Below are 14813 nucleotides of genomic sequence, written 5' to 3' on the forward strand. Positions count from 1 at the left end.
ATATTTAAATCAGCAATAGAAAAGGTGAATTATAGAACTCTGAAAAAAATCAGGTTTGGAGAAGGAGGAAAGGAGTGATTAAATATTTTGAGAAAACTTTTGGAATGAAGTCTAGAGGTAAGTTGAAGACTATGTATAATTTATTTAAAATGCAAACAAACCAACCTCCGTGAGTGGAAACATTAGGTAACTGCAAAAATGTAACATGAAGTAACACTCTATAGGGAACAATAGCTGTTTCAAAAGATGACTGCCCTTTTAATTAAATTGCCATGATTACTTAAGCATCCCATTAAAGACATGTTATATGCTGAGTATCATTCTGAGACTGACTCTGTAGCCATAAAAAATTAAGTTCTGAAAATTTTTATTATTACTGTTTCAGAAGAAGCAAACAAGCAATCCAAACATAGTTTAGTCTGAATTCATTGATTTATTTATTCACCATGGACCTATTAAACATTTTTGTTTGTAAAGAGCTGAGTTAGCTGAGTTGAATTTTAACATAGCTTAAATCCATTTCACTTTTTGCTATTCCCACACCTCACCTCATATCTTTCAACCTGGTCAGTTTGAATTTTCCTGGAAAGAGGCACTGGACTATTAATCTATTTAAGCTGAACAAATGCTTGTAGAGAACCTGTTCCACATGGCATTGTGCTGTTTGGTGCCTGTGTATATTTTATTAAAGTGTAGATAAATTATTTCTCAAATGATTGTAGTTAGAAGACTGGGATTATTTCCTTAACCCTGATACCCATTCACACTTTCTTTCTTCATATCAGTCAAAAACCAGACAGCTAATCTGTTCATAAGCACTCATGGTCTACTATGTTTCAGGAGCTACAGACAAAGACCGCCAGTCCTCAGCAGTTATGATATAATTGAATGACAATATGTACACATAAGAAATGTCAGACAAGGGTGTAAATTAGGTAACACAGATAACAGCATAAGATACACCACAGTTCAGTCATAAATGACAAATAGGTCATCCCCTAAAATAGTCCTATGACTTCATAAGAGGAAGAGGTTATTATATACTGTTAGAATTTGGTTTAAAAAATAAAATGAAATTCAAAGATTCAGACCTCAAAGATACGTTTTCCATACAATACTCCACATCCATTGCTTGACTTTTTAAAGAGACTCTGTCTTGATTTAAATTCCTGGGGTGGGTGGGAGGAAGAGAAGTTGCCCTTCATCAAAGAATGTGTCCACCACATCTATTCTTCCATGTCTCAGTCTGAAAGATTACTAATTGTGTACAATTTAAGGGACTTTAACTTTCCTATTCTGCAGGGGTGTTACTGTTCTGTAATTTTTAAAGCTTAGTACTTACAGGCAAAATGTTATATGAAGGAATTTATAATTGGCTGTTTTCTAGAATTTCCTGGCTAGTTTCCTTGCAGCCTGTGTATTTTTTTTCCTTCTGGTTACTTAACAATAATTTAAAGATCATTTGTTGAATTTAACACTTTATGTATACTTTACAATACACATGATCACTCCTTTCCAGTCTCATTTACTCAATGACACCATCTCTATTCCTAATGGCAGAACTTGAAGGTTTGCATCATGACCATCTTTCTGATAAGGAAAATGAGAAACAGGGGTACCAACGGCTTGCAAGATACTGAAATCCAGGTTCAAAGCCAGATTTGTCTGCCTCTAAGTCTGGACTTCTTCCATCATCTTACCCATCCACAATTGACTATACCTGTGGCTTAATGGTTTAGTGACTGCAAATGATTGATGGATAAGATAAAGCAAATTTAAAGACTCTTTTTTTTTTTAAAACCCTGCCAGTTGTCCCTTGTAAATCTAATTGACAGCTACATAAATACAGTCCTTCTGTTATCCTAAATAAGAGTTTAATTAAAATACTTGGAATCTATGCAGATTATAGAAGTGACTTAAAGTTCTTCAGCATATAGCCAGTCTACCCTCCAAACTTTCCAATTGTTTCTGTTGATGCATGTTCTCAGGAAGACTTTTCTGAGGTTCTTGTCTTCCACTTCTTTCATACTGCAGCAATCATAATAATTTTAATTTTACTTTTTTTTGTTACTTCTTTTTCTTTTTCTTCTTCAATTAGAAATCCATGAGTATTGAACCTTGTCTTTCAAATTTATCAGTATACCCCAACATGTATCACTGCGTTTGGTACATAGACTTCAACAAACATTTGTTGAATGAATAAATGCAAGACTTGTGACAGGTACTGCTAGGATAGAGAAATACAAATGAGACAGTGCTGCTTTCAAAGACTTCTCCATCAAGTAGGGGAACAAATAGCTACATGTAAATATATGTTTAAAAGTAGATGTCATTAAAAGAAGTAAAAAAAATATTTGGGCCATGACAATTCAGAGGAAGTTGTCACTGAAATGGGATCTGCCTCCCAAAATAGTTTTTATTAGGGTGCCATGAATTAGAATACTACCTAGGCCTTAGTGTATTCATCTGTAGAGTGGCATTAGAATTTCCTCATATTGATACAAGAGCAAATTTGTAAACAATGCCATTTCAGAATTTTTACCCCTTTAGAAGGCTGAGACTTGTGGGTGAGTGGTCAGGTGTCACAGATATGAGAGATAAAAGGCTTGTATGTATTGATTTGCTAGTGCATAGAGATGGTGGAATGAGAAAGAAAATAGACTTGTCAGAAGACCTGAGAGTGGCCCCACATAATCTTGAAAAGTCTCTCATCTCTCAGTTTCCTCATCTCTGTAATGAGGTTCATAATAACTATCTCTCAGGTATACTGTGAGAATCCAATTATAAAGGGTAAATTCCTATGCCAATGTAGCATATTATTATTAGTGTTAATAACAGTAATAATCATAGCCAGACAAGAATCATCACCAACACTGAGAGATACTTGACATTCAGCCCTAAAACACAGGTTTTTCAACAGATCATATTTTTGAATCTTCACCATTTTATGTGTAATATTATCAAACATCCTAAATTCTGAAAAGTGATACTTGCTCACTTGCCTGTGCCAATAGATGAAATGACTAGATTTCACTCTTCATCATTGTTGATTACAATGTGATCGGGGCAATTTTAAGGTGAGAGAATGAGAAAAGTTATTTACATTCTTCTCCCATCCCCCAGTTCCTACCCCCAAGAATTAATTCTCCTTTCAAATGGATTCCATAAGTAGTAAAGATTTGGCTCCAATATCTGAGTTGAAATTAGAATTTAACTCTTTAATAAAATGGTTAAAACTATTAAAATATTAACGGGTGCCAATTGTTAAGCAAAAGTTGTTATGGAAACAACCACATGTTCTGTTTCATTCAAACATTTGTGCTACCTTTTTAAGAGGCTGGAATCTAATGTGTTGAGATAATAATGTTGGACTCTCCTAGAAGCAAACCTCAGAAGGAGTTTGAAATGCACAAAATTTGCTCTTGGCATCTACCTGATGCAGGGCTCAGGGGAAGCAGAGAAATCCAGGCAGAGAAATCCAGCTGGCTGTGGCCCAGTGACAGGCTGCTGACACCACAAGAAGTTCTGAGGCTAGAATGGCCTTCAGAGTTGCTTTAAAACAGGCCACAAAGGCCAGGCCATTATACCTCCACATCAATCAGTGCGATGATTCATTTTATGTATCAGTTTGACTGGGCCACATGCTGCCCACATAGCTGGTTAAACATTATTTCTAGGTGTGTCAGAAAAGATTGGCTGGGCGGGGTGGCTCATGCCTATAATCCCAGCACTTTGAGAGGCCAAGGCAGGCAGATCAAGAGATCAGGAGATCAAGACCATCCTGGCTAACACAGCGAAACCCCGTCTCTACTAAAAATACAAAAAAAAATTAGCTGGGCATAGTGGCAGGCACCTGTAGTCCCAGCTACTTGGGAGGCTGAGGCAGGAGAACGGCGTGAACCCGGGAGGCGGAGCTTGCAGTGAGCCGAGATCCCGCCACTGCACTCCAGCCTGGGCAACAGAGCGAGACTCTGTCTCAAAAACAAACAAACAAACAAACAAACAAACAAACAAATAGAGAAAAGATTAGCACTTGAATTAGTGGACTGAATAAAGCAGATTACCTTCTCCAATGCAGGCTGGGATCATTGAGGGCCTAAATGGAACAAAAATGTAGACCAAGGTTGAATGAACTCAGCCTGACTGCTTGAGCTGGGACATTGATCTTCTCCTGCTCTCAGTGCCTCTGGCTCTGAGGCATTCAAACTACACCACTGGTTTTCTTGGGTCTCCAATTTGCAGACAGAAGATTGTAAAACTTTTCATCCTCCATAATTATGTAAGCCAGTATCTGACAAAAAATCTCTTTGGTTCTGTTTCTCTGGAGAACCCTGACCAATACAATGAATCATCAGACTTGGGCCACTCTGGAAGAGGGGAAGGTGAACTTGGCCAAGGCAGCTCTCTGTAGCCAGGGCATTCCCTCACAGGGTTCAGAGCTGAAGGCTGTCTGCCTATAGCACTCCCAGAAATAGGAATAACAGGTCATGCACTGATAGGATCTTGAAGGTCAATTCACCATATGTACATTAGTGTTAATAATGTATAATTGAAATTTATACAAAAATGAAGATATCATTTTTCTGAAACAACCGTAGACTATTGTTTGCCTTATAAGGCAAATAATTAATAGAATGTTATTATTTAATGTTAAAACTTCCTTTCAAAGACGTCTTGTTGCACAAACAAAGGCAATCTATACAAATGATAGAAAACTGGAATTGTAGCCTGCACAAGTAGGAGAAATAGGACCTTCATTCTTTCTGGTTTTTCAATAAAGAAGTTTTGTTAAAACAATCTAAAAGGATAAAGAATTATGTTTTTAGTTGTTGCTCATTTATAAGACAAAAATCTCTATTAATAATTTAGTAGGAGAAAAATAAAACAAGAAACAATGTCACAGCACCAAGTTCCAACTGTGATGGAAATTGAGGATTAACTTATTGGGATGAAATTACTTACAAAGCTGTGTATAGAATACTAAGTGTGCATTTTTAAAAAACAACATGACTACAGTATTATCAGTATCTCAAGTTGGTTCACAATTTCCATCAAATTAAATTCTACATAAATCAACTCAAGTCTGTGGTTATATAATTTGTTAGAGCTACACGACAGACCTTGGTTTTGGTGTACAAATAAGCAAACAAAATTACCATTTTATCAGTTGTTAAAGAGAATGACTAGACTATTGGTTAAAAATGATTAGACTTACAGTTTGACCATAAGAAATTTGCCTAGAATTAAACATCTTTTGATCTAATAAAAATGTGATACAGCCCATCCACCATTATTTATTTCTTATGAACATGCCTTCAGATAATAGCAATGAGCAAAACAAAATAACCAGGTGTTTTTTTAAGGCAATAGAAACACATAAACTCTCTACCCTAAATATCCTTAGCATCATTTATATTTCCATCTTTCTGAAGACATAAGTGAACTAACAATTTGACCTAAAGTAATTGGTCCTTTAGTGGTAGTTGAGTAAAATTTGTTCTATGGTTTAAATAAGTGTAATCACGCCTCCTGTAACAATATTTTCGCCTCCTCATGTGGCGTACAACTGGGACTTAGCAGGAAAGTGCACAACATGAAACTGTAAGTTTATCAGCTTAAAGTGTACTTTGCAAAAGAGAAGATTTATCTCACACATCACTGTAAAGAAAAAGTGTTATCTCTACCAACATGGATTAAAAGAGCAAAACTGCACTTATATTTATGTTCATTTTCTCTTTCTCACTTTCAAACATTTTATACTTTTTCCTCTATCAAATGCCATGTGGAATCTTAAAGGGACTCTGAAAAGCAATGCAATGAAGGAATGGTACAGAAGAGGCATGTGCTACCATGCATAGGGAAATAAAGACAATCCACTGTGAAACGGGACTGCAACAGAAGCAGACACTTCTCAAAAGAAGACATACAGGTGGCTAACAAATATACGAAAAAAATGCTCAACATCACTGGTCACAGAGAAATGCAAGTCAAAACCACTATGAGACATCATCACACACCAGTCAGAATGACTATTATTAAAAGTCAAAAAATAACATGTTGATGAGGCTACAGAGAAAAAGGAAGACTTACACACTGTTGGTGGGAATGTAAATTAGTTCAGCCACTGTGGAAAGCAGTATGAAGATTTCTCAAAGAACCAAAAACAGAACTACCATTCAACCCAGCAACCCCATTACTTGATATCTACCCAAAGGAAAAGAAATTCTTCTACCAAAAACACACATGCACCTATATGTTCCCCACAGCACTATTACAATAGCAAAGACGTGGAATCAACCTAGGTGCCCATCAGCAGTGGACTGGATAAAGAAAATGTGGTAGCTATACACTGTGTAATGCTATACAGCCATAAAAAAGAATGAAATCTTGCCCTTTGCAGCAACATGGATGCAGCTAGAGGCCATAATCCTAAGCAAATTAATGCAGAAACAGAAAACAAAATATTTCACGTTCTTACTTATAAGTGTGAGCTAAATCTTGGCTACACACAGACATAAAGATGGGAACAATAGACACTGGAAACTCCCCAAGGATGGAGGGAGTGGGGCAAGGGCTAAAAACTTCCTATTGGGTACTATGTTCATCATCTGGCTGATGGGATCAACAGAAACCTGATCCTCAGCATCACACAAGTATACCCCTGTAACAAACCTGCTCATGTACCCCCCCAATCTAAAATAAAAATAGATGCTTTTTTAAAAAAGAAAATCATAATTAAAAAGAAAAGGACCTTGGCACAGAGAGCCCCTCTCCTGCCTGTCTGCAGATGTACTCTCAGAGAGATGCTGTGATCTGGAGGTGGATCGGGTCTAGGTAGGTTCACAGGGTCAGCGTCCACGCTGGGCTCTCACTCAGCCACAACTCACCACCGATCTGGAGGTCTGCTCAGAGGAACAGAGGAGTGGGGTGAATATGAATCTCGTCTCTAGGGTCAGACTTCCTAGGTCCAAATCCTGGCCCTTCTCTTCTTAGCTATGTGAGACTGGGTAAGTGAGGTGGCTTCTTTGTACCTCTGTCCCTCATCTGAAGATTGAGAAGATGGCACCCAAATGGGCTTTGTGAAGAGATTCAATCGACACTCAACACATTACGTTTTCCTCAGAAAACACCTGCTAGTTGTAAATTGTTTAAAATCAAAATCAACAGCCCCCACACAGAAACAGTGATTGTCTTTCATCAAGTGATATTCACCTGCATTATTTCTAGAAACCTCAAATTTCATTCTCCAAGTATACACAGAATCACAACTCATACTAGAGATTCCTCAAGGGGGATATAGAGTCGGCTGCAGAAAGCTGTATAGTTAGAAGAAAAACTTATGCTCACCACAATAGAAATGAATGTCTGATATGTTGCCTCTTCTTACCTCTTCCTTTGAATTAGAAATGTCTAAGGAGACATGGGTACAGGAACTGGGAAAGAGTCAGAGAAACAAAGAAAGAAATATAAAAGAAGAGAACCAGGAAGGGGAAAGGGGAGAAGAGAAATGGTGGCGGGGGAGAATGAAAGAGAACAAGAGTAGAAAGAGGAGAGCTGAGAGAGAAAACCCAGTCCAGAGGTATCTATGGAACTGGGCAGAAAAGGAATTCTCTGTAGGGTCAAAAAAGCAAGTGCAGGATGAGGAACAATTGGAGAAGGAGCACTTGACTAGGTTTAAATGAATGTCATTAATGTGTTGTGTGCATTTGTATTTTCTTTGGATTATGTTTTGGTGAGTGATTTGTGATCTTTATTTGTTCTATTTGTTTTTGCCATTTCAAATTAGGTTCCCAGACTCTGCAGCAAAAAATACAACAGGAAGATTTCAAAAGAGAAAGCTAACTCCTTCTAAATGCTCAAATGACCAATATGAACAGACTCTCTGACATATTTTCCAGCCCATTGCCTGGAAAAACCATTATGACAAAGACAATATTGAAATCAAAGTGAGCACTGTTTAAATTTCTTACCTGTTCTGGACTTTAAAACAGCATTAGACTTTGAATTAAGCCCATTACAGAATTAATAATTTCATTATGGAATTGCAGCAGTTAAACACCCCAGTGTATTTCTAAGTCTAGTGAAGCCTGATAGCTGTGAACACTCATTGGATGTGTGACAAATACGTGAATAAATAAGAAGCCACTGTTTCCTGATATAGTGAAATTATCTAATAAATAGATAAGCATATCCATGTTTTAAAACCACCATCATTCAGAAAAAGGCAAAGTATCTTGGTATCTGTGTTATATGTGTACATATCATAAAGTCATTTCCAAATACCTTCTGCAGATAGGACATTCTCAACAGTATATCAACAGCAGCTATGAGAGCTTATAATCTATGTGCACTCTTCTACTCAGCACCAAGTAATATCTGATTCTACTTATCAGCATTACCCGAATTCTGCAATGTATTAGCTTTCAAACAGTGAGGGGTCTTTGCTCAAAGCAGCATTTTCAACAGATACAGTGGCTGAGATTCTCAATTTAAGAAAGAAGAAACTGATAGCAGAAAGGTCATTATTATTTTAGCCAAATAACCCTTCTGAGCAAGGGTTGTACAATGACCATGGTACGGCAGTAACCAAACTAGGAAATGAACTTCAGAGAACAAACATCAGCACCCAAAGCATTTAAAAACTCAGTCTTTCAAGGAAATGCAAGTAACATGTAGTGTTTCCCTAGGTAATGCAAGATCATTCCCTATAGGAGGATTTGATCCATGTGTTTAGTACATAAAAAGGTTAAAAATGCAGTTACGTTTTTAACTTTTTGGATTCAGATAGCACTAAAAAGAAAGGATAGTGAATAGATATGTTTTGGATAGCAAGCCATCTAACATTTTCTTGGGCTCCAGGGATGATCCTATCCTGGCCTCCCAAGTAGCTAGGACTACAGGTGTGTGCCACCATGCCTGGCTAATATTTTTGTTTTTTGTGGAGATAGGGGTCTTGCTATGTTGGCCAGCTGGTCTCGAACTCCTGGCCTCAGGCAATACTACTGCCTCTGCCTCCCAAAGTGCTGGGATTACAGGTGGAAGCCACCATGCCCAGCATAATTCTTTGAAGGACTCTTGTCAAAATACATTTTGGACTAGATTTTATTCAAAATAGAAGACAATTAGTACCTTGAGATGCAAGGACCTCCTCCAACCACACACACACACACACACACACACATGGACACGCACACACACACACGATTCTATTACCTTTTCCTTAATGAAAGATCTACTTTTAGAACAAATCGCAAATAATAATATATTTGAACAGAAAAATACTATTTCACTAATGTTTTAATATCTAATTTCAGCTTCATAATATCCTAATGCTATCAGGTTAGTAGGGTAAACATTATAAATTTATTTTTACATGGAAAAAACTGTCCCCAAGATCACACAGCTATTGAGGAGTCAAATGCAAACCTTGTCAACCTAATCCTAATAGCAAATAATTACTGTACTTTGCTATTATCTCTCAATAATTGTCTCCTTGGTCATTAGGTTGCCTCAATGTACATAATTAAATACAACATCAACAGGTAAGGTGGTATATTCAAAATGCGAACTTCAAAGTTTTACATCATCAAGGCTGCACAGTTTAGATAAATGTTTTTTGGTCTGGTTCAAGTTGGACAGAAATTTCATTGACCGACATCCTCTCAAAAGAGCCTATTGCAAGCTATTTTCTCCATAAACCCGGGTCTGCCTGTCATCACTCATGGAGCATTAACTGAGCTCTTGCTACATGCTGAGCTCTCTGTTAGAATCTGAAGTTACATGAATGAATAAAAAGACACAGTCCCTCATCTTCAGGAGATAACAGTAAACAACACAATATGTAAACAAATATTACAATTTGATGTGAGAAATGCTATCATATAGGGCAGCCTAGGGACAAAAGACCAAGAAAATGGAATTTGGCAACTGTAAGTAAGATTTACTGGTTCTTGCCAGCGGCCTTGGAATTACGTAGCCAGAGAAGCATAAAAAATAGTTGTATGATACATTGATATGCATCAGAATCAACAAGTCAGAAAACATTTCATAAGTGAGATTATGCTTGATTCAGCCAGCCAAAAACCAGAAAAATCTATTTCTAATGGATACTACCAGTCCACAGAGATGCATATTTCCTTTGACAATGTTGTCATTAAATATGATGTAATAAACACCCTGCTTTATGTACAAAAGGAGATTTAATCTAACTTTTCCACAATAAGAAGCAGACAACTCATGTTACTGTAGAAGGAATACAGAAAAAAAATTAAGTTAGCCATTAAAATGACCACTGGAAGAGGAAATAGCAACACATCAATCCTAAGAATGAAGGATTTCAGCTGGACTCAATAAAATGTAATCACAACAGCTATCTACAAGGCTTTACTTTAATGATAAAACACATCAGAACTTGTGAGAATAGGTTTTTAAAAATTTATTCCTATTATTGGAAATTCTGAAAATGTGCAAGCCAGGTCAATATTGCATTATTTAAAGATGCACTGTCAAACAATCTTTTACTGAAACCAAAAACATCTACATTCTCAGTGTTATAGGAAATATAGCCGGTGTTTTATAACATTCTGCATTAAATGGTATTGTTTATCTAAGGGGGTTCTTAGAAAAGAACGTTAAGCTTTCAACAATCCCAACATCACCCAAGCACAAAAATGAAAACCGATCAGAACTGCAAATGACAAAAGGATAACAATTTGTTACTTCATAAATTTCTGTGATATAATTTCCACAATTTCCATTCATGCAGTGACTTCTAGATAAAACTCATTCTCCTTGCAAATGCGTTATAGCTTAACCATATATAACATGTAAATATCTACAAGTGAAAAGCAGCTTAGCTTGTTTAAAAAAAAAAAGATCCTGGAATATAAACAGAGTAACAGAAGCACTCGTTCAAGTTCACTCATGGCATGCTATCCTCTTCTCATCCCTGCAGTGGAGCACACCCATGTTCCCTCTGCATGACCCTGGGCAAGATGTGTAACATTTGTGGCTATCAGTTCCTTCATTTGTAAAAAGAAGGGTGCTTGACAGGATGATGTCAAGATGCCTTTGAATTTCAACATTTTGTGTTTCTATGAATATACCACATAGCTGCCTCCCATGAGTACTGTGAATTATGTAAGTTCTAATACGGGAATAGAACATCATGTTAAATACAATAAATTGCTTTTTGAAAAGCCTACAGGAGATGAACTAGAGGGTACATCAGAAAACTTTTCCAATTCAAAATTATAAATCCTGACTTCACAAGTCAAAGAATGACTGGGGATCTTAAAAACTGATTTTTTGTTAGAGTATTGGAGCCTTGGTCAGGTGCTAGGGATCTGATGACCAGTTCATTGAAGCATTATAGTTCTCTTGTCAGTTCAAAAAAAAAAAATGAAAGGAGTGTTGGGGATGGGCTGAAGATGAAGACAACAATGGCTTCCATTTTACTATTCAATAATAGCCTCGCTTTTCCTCTCCTCGTCCATTTCTCTCTCCTATTTCTTGATCCTGCTCAACTTTCCCTTTCTCTCCCTTCCCTTTCCCTTGTCTTACTCTGTCTTTCCCATTTTAAAAACCTGAAAATGGAGATGAGCCACCTGATACAACACCCTTTCAATTACTTCCATCCTGTTACTCTGAGACTCACTAATAGCAGCAGCAAAAAAAGGACTGTTGCATGGCCTGGCCTCTTGCTGAGCATGGAAAATAGAACACATTCATTTACCTCCATGTTATAAACTGAATGTCTGTGTACTCTTAAAATCCACATGTTGAAGCCCTGCCCCTCTGATGTGATAGTATTACCTTTAGGAGGTAATGAGGTTTAGATGAAGTCATGAGAGTAAGACTCCCACATGGGATTAGTGTCCTTAATAGAAGAGGAAAGATCAGACTGATCTCTCTCTGTCTCTCTCTGTCTCCATTCACCGTGTGAGAACACAGTGAGAAGGCCATTGTCTGCAAGCCAGGAAGACAGCCCTCATGAAAAACCCAACCAGGCTAACATCCTAATCTCAGACTTTCCAGCCTCCAGAACTGTGATAAATAAATGTCTCTTGTTTAAGCTACTCAGTTTATGGTATTTTGATTTAGCAACCTGAGCTAAAACACTCTAATTCCTCCAAATACCCAACTAAGTTGTCTACTATAAAAAAAAAGAGGGGAAAAGAGGAGAGAAATGTCACCAATGTTTTGAAAGCTGAAAAGCAGATGATTACCAAGTTGCAATTGACTTACCAGAATAGAAAAAGCTCAGTGAGAGCCCACAAGGAGTGGGGCTGGGGATGAGGCCAACAGAAACAAAGCTGGTGTTCTACTTAACATGATGAAGGCCCTGGAGTGGAGGTACCAGAGGCTCCAGAAGGTGGGGTTGAAAATGGAGTTGGTTGAAAATCTCTAAAGTCCCTTCCCTCAACTCCAGTCCCTCTGCACAGAAGATCAGAGAGTCATTTTCTATAGAGGATGAACTCAGGGACATCAAACACAGCTGAAGACATAGTGAGTTTCTATAGAATAAAAGTCTGCATGCTGAATGGATAGTCCCTGGTCCCCTCTCCCTGTTTAGCATCCAGACTGCAGTAGCCTAACTTATCTCCCCCCACCCACCCCTGCCCCCACTAAACCCCATACAGAAAATTGGAAGAGTCTTCTCTGGAGAATCTGGTCCAAGGGTAATGACATACTGATACTTACATGGATGTTTCCCAACTAAATGACCAATTCCACCTGCTCGAGCTAAAGTAAAGCCCACTGGCCAATGAATTTGTCCTCACCTCCAAGGCTCACAAACACCATGTCAGCACCTCACTCTTAATATCACAGCAGACATTTGAGAGGAGCCTTTACCGTGAAAGTCAGGAACCAAAGCAAACAGAAGAGGTAAACTTAGAGGACAAGAAATAAGACATACATAGATAACTTCAAGATTATTAATATCCTCAGAGACAAGAAGTGTGTCCATGCAACAAGAATAGGAGGCTAAAAGAATAGAAACATTCAGAGGGCAAGAAGAAGCTCCTAGAAATTAAAAAGGAGATGATAGAAATATCTCAATAGATAAGGTATAAGAGCAAGTAGAGAAAACATTTCAGAAAGCAAAACAAATGAAAATGACCATAAAATTGGAGAATTCATTCAAGAGGCTTAACTTTCCAATTTTGAAATCCCCAAAAGAGAAAATAGAGGCCATTACCAAAGAAAAATTTAAGAATATTTCTCAGAACTGAAGAATAAGAACTTTTGGATTGAAAATAGTTATAAAATACCAGCAAAAAGAAAAGAAAGGAAGGGGAAGGAAGAAAACCTATATGAAGGAATATTAACACAAAATTTTAAAACACTCGTGAGTAAAAACCAATTACAGAGAAGGATTAAGGCTCAGAATGGTTTCAGGATTTTCACAGCAATAATGTGAAGTCAGAAGAAAATGGAGCAATGCCTTCAAAATTATAAGAAAAAATGAGTTTTATTTGAAATGAAAAGAAAGCAAGTTAACTATATATCAAGTGTGTAGGTAGAATAAAGTCTATTTAAAATATGAAGAAAACTCAAAAAAATCATTTACCTTCCATGCATACCTTTTTTTAGGAAGCTTCTCAGGGATGGAATGAAGCTTTCCAAACCAAGAAAGGAAACAAGAATGAACAAGACCCAGAATCCAAGTAGCAGGGAATTCACCACAGGAGAAGGAAAGGGGATTTCTCAAAGTGATGATGAAGAGAAGCAGAGTTAACAGCCATCAAAGGTCCAAAGATCATCCCACCCAGATTAGAGCAGGGAAAGGAAGCCTCCAGAAGAATCTCCAAGAAGAAAAGAAACTGAATGGATGGGCTGTTTGAGGTGTTTGGATATACTGAAAGGATATGTACAGTTCTGTCAAAGTTTGAGGATGAATTGATAAGTTATATAGAAATCTAAGCATATGACAAAGCAAGAAATGATTAATTTCAGGAAAAACAAAATGTTTAAGAATAGAAATGGTATTTTAGTACACTAGATTAACTGCAACATCAAATGCAGAATCATGATAATACAAGCACTGAATACTAATTAAATCAGAATTATGATACAATCCTACTGGAAAGATTGGAGGAAAGGAAGTGTATGTGTGTTCATACGCACATCCATGTGCAATGTGTGTACTGTGGGGAGTTAAGTCATCGTCTTCCGTAGTAGACAATCAAAATGAAAGCTAAAAAAAAAATCAAGAAATAGCAACATGAAAATGTTTTGTGAAAAATGGAGACAAATACCAGAAAAAGAGCTAAAGGGGTTGGAAATAATTGTTCTTGGGGATCAAGATTCAAAAGCACGGGGAGGGCAGTGGGTTTCTGTGAAGTCCAGTAGCACTATATACAATATCGCTTGGGTAAAATACATGTTTGGGGCCCTGATTTTTAAGGTCATTAAGTGGAAGTGGGGATGATATGGTTTGGATGTGTCCTCACCCAAATCTCATATTGAAATGTAATCCCCAATGCTGGAGGTGGGGCCTGGTGGGAGGTGATTGGATCATGTGGGCAGAGTTCTCATGAATGGTTTAGCAACATCCACCCTTGCTACTGTACAGTGAGTTCTCACAAGATCTGGTTGTTTAAAAGTATGTAGCACCTCCCCCTCCCTCCCTTGGTCCTGCTCCTGCCATGTAAGACACCTGTTCCCACTTTGCCTTCTACCATGAGTAAAAGCTCCCTGAGGCCTCCCCAGAAGCAGATGCCACTATGCTTCCTGTTCAGCCTGCAGAATCATGAGCCAATTAAACCTCTTGTCTTTATAAATTACCCAGTCTCAGGTATTTCTTTATA

At 37.5% G+C, this 14813-nt stretch overlaps 1 protein-coding gene across 25 annotated transcripts in view; it reads right to left on the minus strand.

Annotated features, from left to right (window-relative positions):
* GRM8 (glutamate metabotropic receptor 8) overlaps positions 1 to 14813 on the minus strand; it is an 814344-nt gene that overhangs the window by 469621 nt on the left and 329910 nt on the right. The window lies entirely within an intron of this gene.

Source organism: Homo sapiens, chromosome 7 (assembly GCF_000001405.40).
Source record: "Homo sapiens chromosome 7, GRCh38.p14 Primary Assembly".
NCBI lineage: Eukaryota > Metazoa > Chordata > Mammalia > Primates > Hominidae > Homo > Homo sapiens.